The sequence below is a fragment of the Homo sapiens genome, chromosome 7, assembly GCF_000001405.40.
Source record: "Homo sapiens chromosome 7, GRCh38.p14 Primary Assembly".
Classification (NCBI taxonomy): domain Eukaryota; kingdom Metazoa; phylum Chordata; class Mammalia; order Primates; family Hominidae; genus Homo; species Homo sapiens.
The window spans coordinates 65,401,137-65,403,483 of record NC_000007.14 but is presented as its reverse complement, the minus strand read 5'-3'; positions in this window follow the sequence as shown (position 1 = coordinate 65,403,483).

Sequence of the window (2,347 nt, the reverse complement as noted above, 5' to 3'; positions counted from 1 at the left end):
TTTGTCACCAATATGTTGATTGTAGAAGTGTAGCTTTTTTTTCTGGGCTCTCTCCTCTGTTTCATTAGCCTATATTTTTGTACCAGAACCATGCTGTATTGGTTACTGTAGCTTGTAGTACAATTTGAAGTTAGGTAATGTGAGACATCCAGGATTATTGTTTTTGTTTAAACTTGCTGTGGCTATTTGGGCTCTTTCATTATTCCATATGAATTTTAAAATAGTTTACTTCTAAATCTATAAAAAATGGCACTGAAGGCTGAGCACAGTGGCTCATGCATGTAATCCCAGTGTTTTTGGAGGCTGAGGTGGGCAGATCACTTAAGATCAGGAGTCCAAGACCAGGCCCTAGCCAACATGGTGAAACCCCATCTTTACTAAAAATACAAAAAATTAACCAGGTGTAATGGTGTGTGCCTGTAGACCAAGCTACTCCAGAGGCTGAGACAGAAGAATTGCTTGAACCTGGGAGGTGAGAGGTTGCAGTGAGCCAAGACGAGTGTACTGTTATACAGCAAGCACTGTCATGTTTGTTTGCTGCACTTATGTATAAAAACATCATCCTGGCCGGGTGCAGTGGCTCACGCCTGTAATCCCAGCACTTTGGGAGGCCAAGGGGGACAGATCACGAGGTCAGGAGTTTGAGACCAGCCTGGCTGACATAGTGAAACTCCATCTCTACTAAAAATACAAAAAATTAGCTGGGCTTGGTGGTGGGTGCCTGTAATCCCAGCTACTTGGGAGGCTGAGGCAGGAGAATCAGTTGAACCTGGGAGGCAGAGGTTGCAGTGAGCCGAGATCATGCCACTGCACTCCAGCCTAGGCAACAGTGCAAGACTCTGTCTCAAAAAAAAAAAAAAAAAAAAAATCCTGACTTATGAAGCCTCCCTAGTACATACCTGAACAAATTGGCTCAATACATAAATTTACTTATGTCAATTAAAAAATCTGAAAGCAGCTGGGCACAGTGGCTCACGTCTGTAATTCCAGCATTTTGGGAGGCCGAGGCAGGCAGATCACAAGGTCAGGAGTTTGAAATCACCCTGGCCAACAAGGCAAAACCCTGTCTCTACTAAAAATACAAAAATTAGCAGGGTGTGGTGGTGGGCACCTGTAATCCTGGCTACTCAGGAGGCTGAGGTAGGAGAATTGCTTGAACCCGGGAGGTGGAGGTTACAATGAGCCAAGATCATGCCATTGCACTCCAGCCTGGGCAACAAGAACAAGCCTACGTCTCAAAAAAAAAAAAAAAAAAAAAAAATCTGAAAGCAGCAATAACTAAATACAAGTAGGCTTACAGCCGGGTGCAGTGGCTCACACCTGGAATCCCAGCACTTTGGGAGAACAAGGCAGGCGAATCACCTAGGTCGGGAGTTCGAGGCAACCTGACCAACATGGAGAAACCCTGTCTCTACTAATAATACAAAGTTAGACAGGCATGGTGGCACATGCCTGTAATCCCAGCTACTCGGGAGGCCGAGGCAGGAGAATCACTTCAACCCAGGAGGCGGAGGCTGCGGTGAGCCGAGATCATACCATTGAACTCCATTCTGAGCAACAAGAGCGAAATTCCGTCTCAAAAGTAGGCTTATATAGGGTTCTCCAAGTAAAATAACAAAATGGAATGTTCTAACTAAATAAAATACACTAATTGTGCAATTACATCTAAAAATTTTGCATGCGCTAAATTTTATAAAAATAATTCTTATAATCCCTGATGAGCTCACATAATGAATACTTCAAAAACTATAAAACAAAATAATTATAAGAAACAAAAAAATTATGGGTCTAGCATGAGCACCAGGCAAGTAAAACAGAGAAATTGCCTGGGGAGGTTATGAACCATAAGCCATAAGATCTTATAGTCATGAATTCAATACAAAGCAGTGTATAGATTTGCCTTACACATATTTGAGGTTTTTAGTTTTCTAGTAAATTAGTCACCTTATTAAAATAATTTTTTCCTCATTTTTAGATAGAACTGGATTGTCTGTAATACAAAGAATAAATGCTAGAGGTGAAGACCTCATTTACCCTGATGTCATTATTACATACTGTATGTCTGTATCAAAATATGGCATATATGGCAATAAATATATACACACACTATGTACCCACAAAAATTAAGAAAAATAAATTTAAATTTTAAAAAGATAAAAATTTAACCTATGGGAACAATATTCTTTAATGTATTTGCAGTTTAAGCCACTGGAAAAGATTACCACAGATGTAAGTCCACTATGTTACCAAATAATATACTGTTACCATCTTTTACCCCACACCCTTGAGTAAGGTAGGATAAGGTTAAAGTTAGTGGCATAATAACACTTCATCGAATACACTAGTC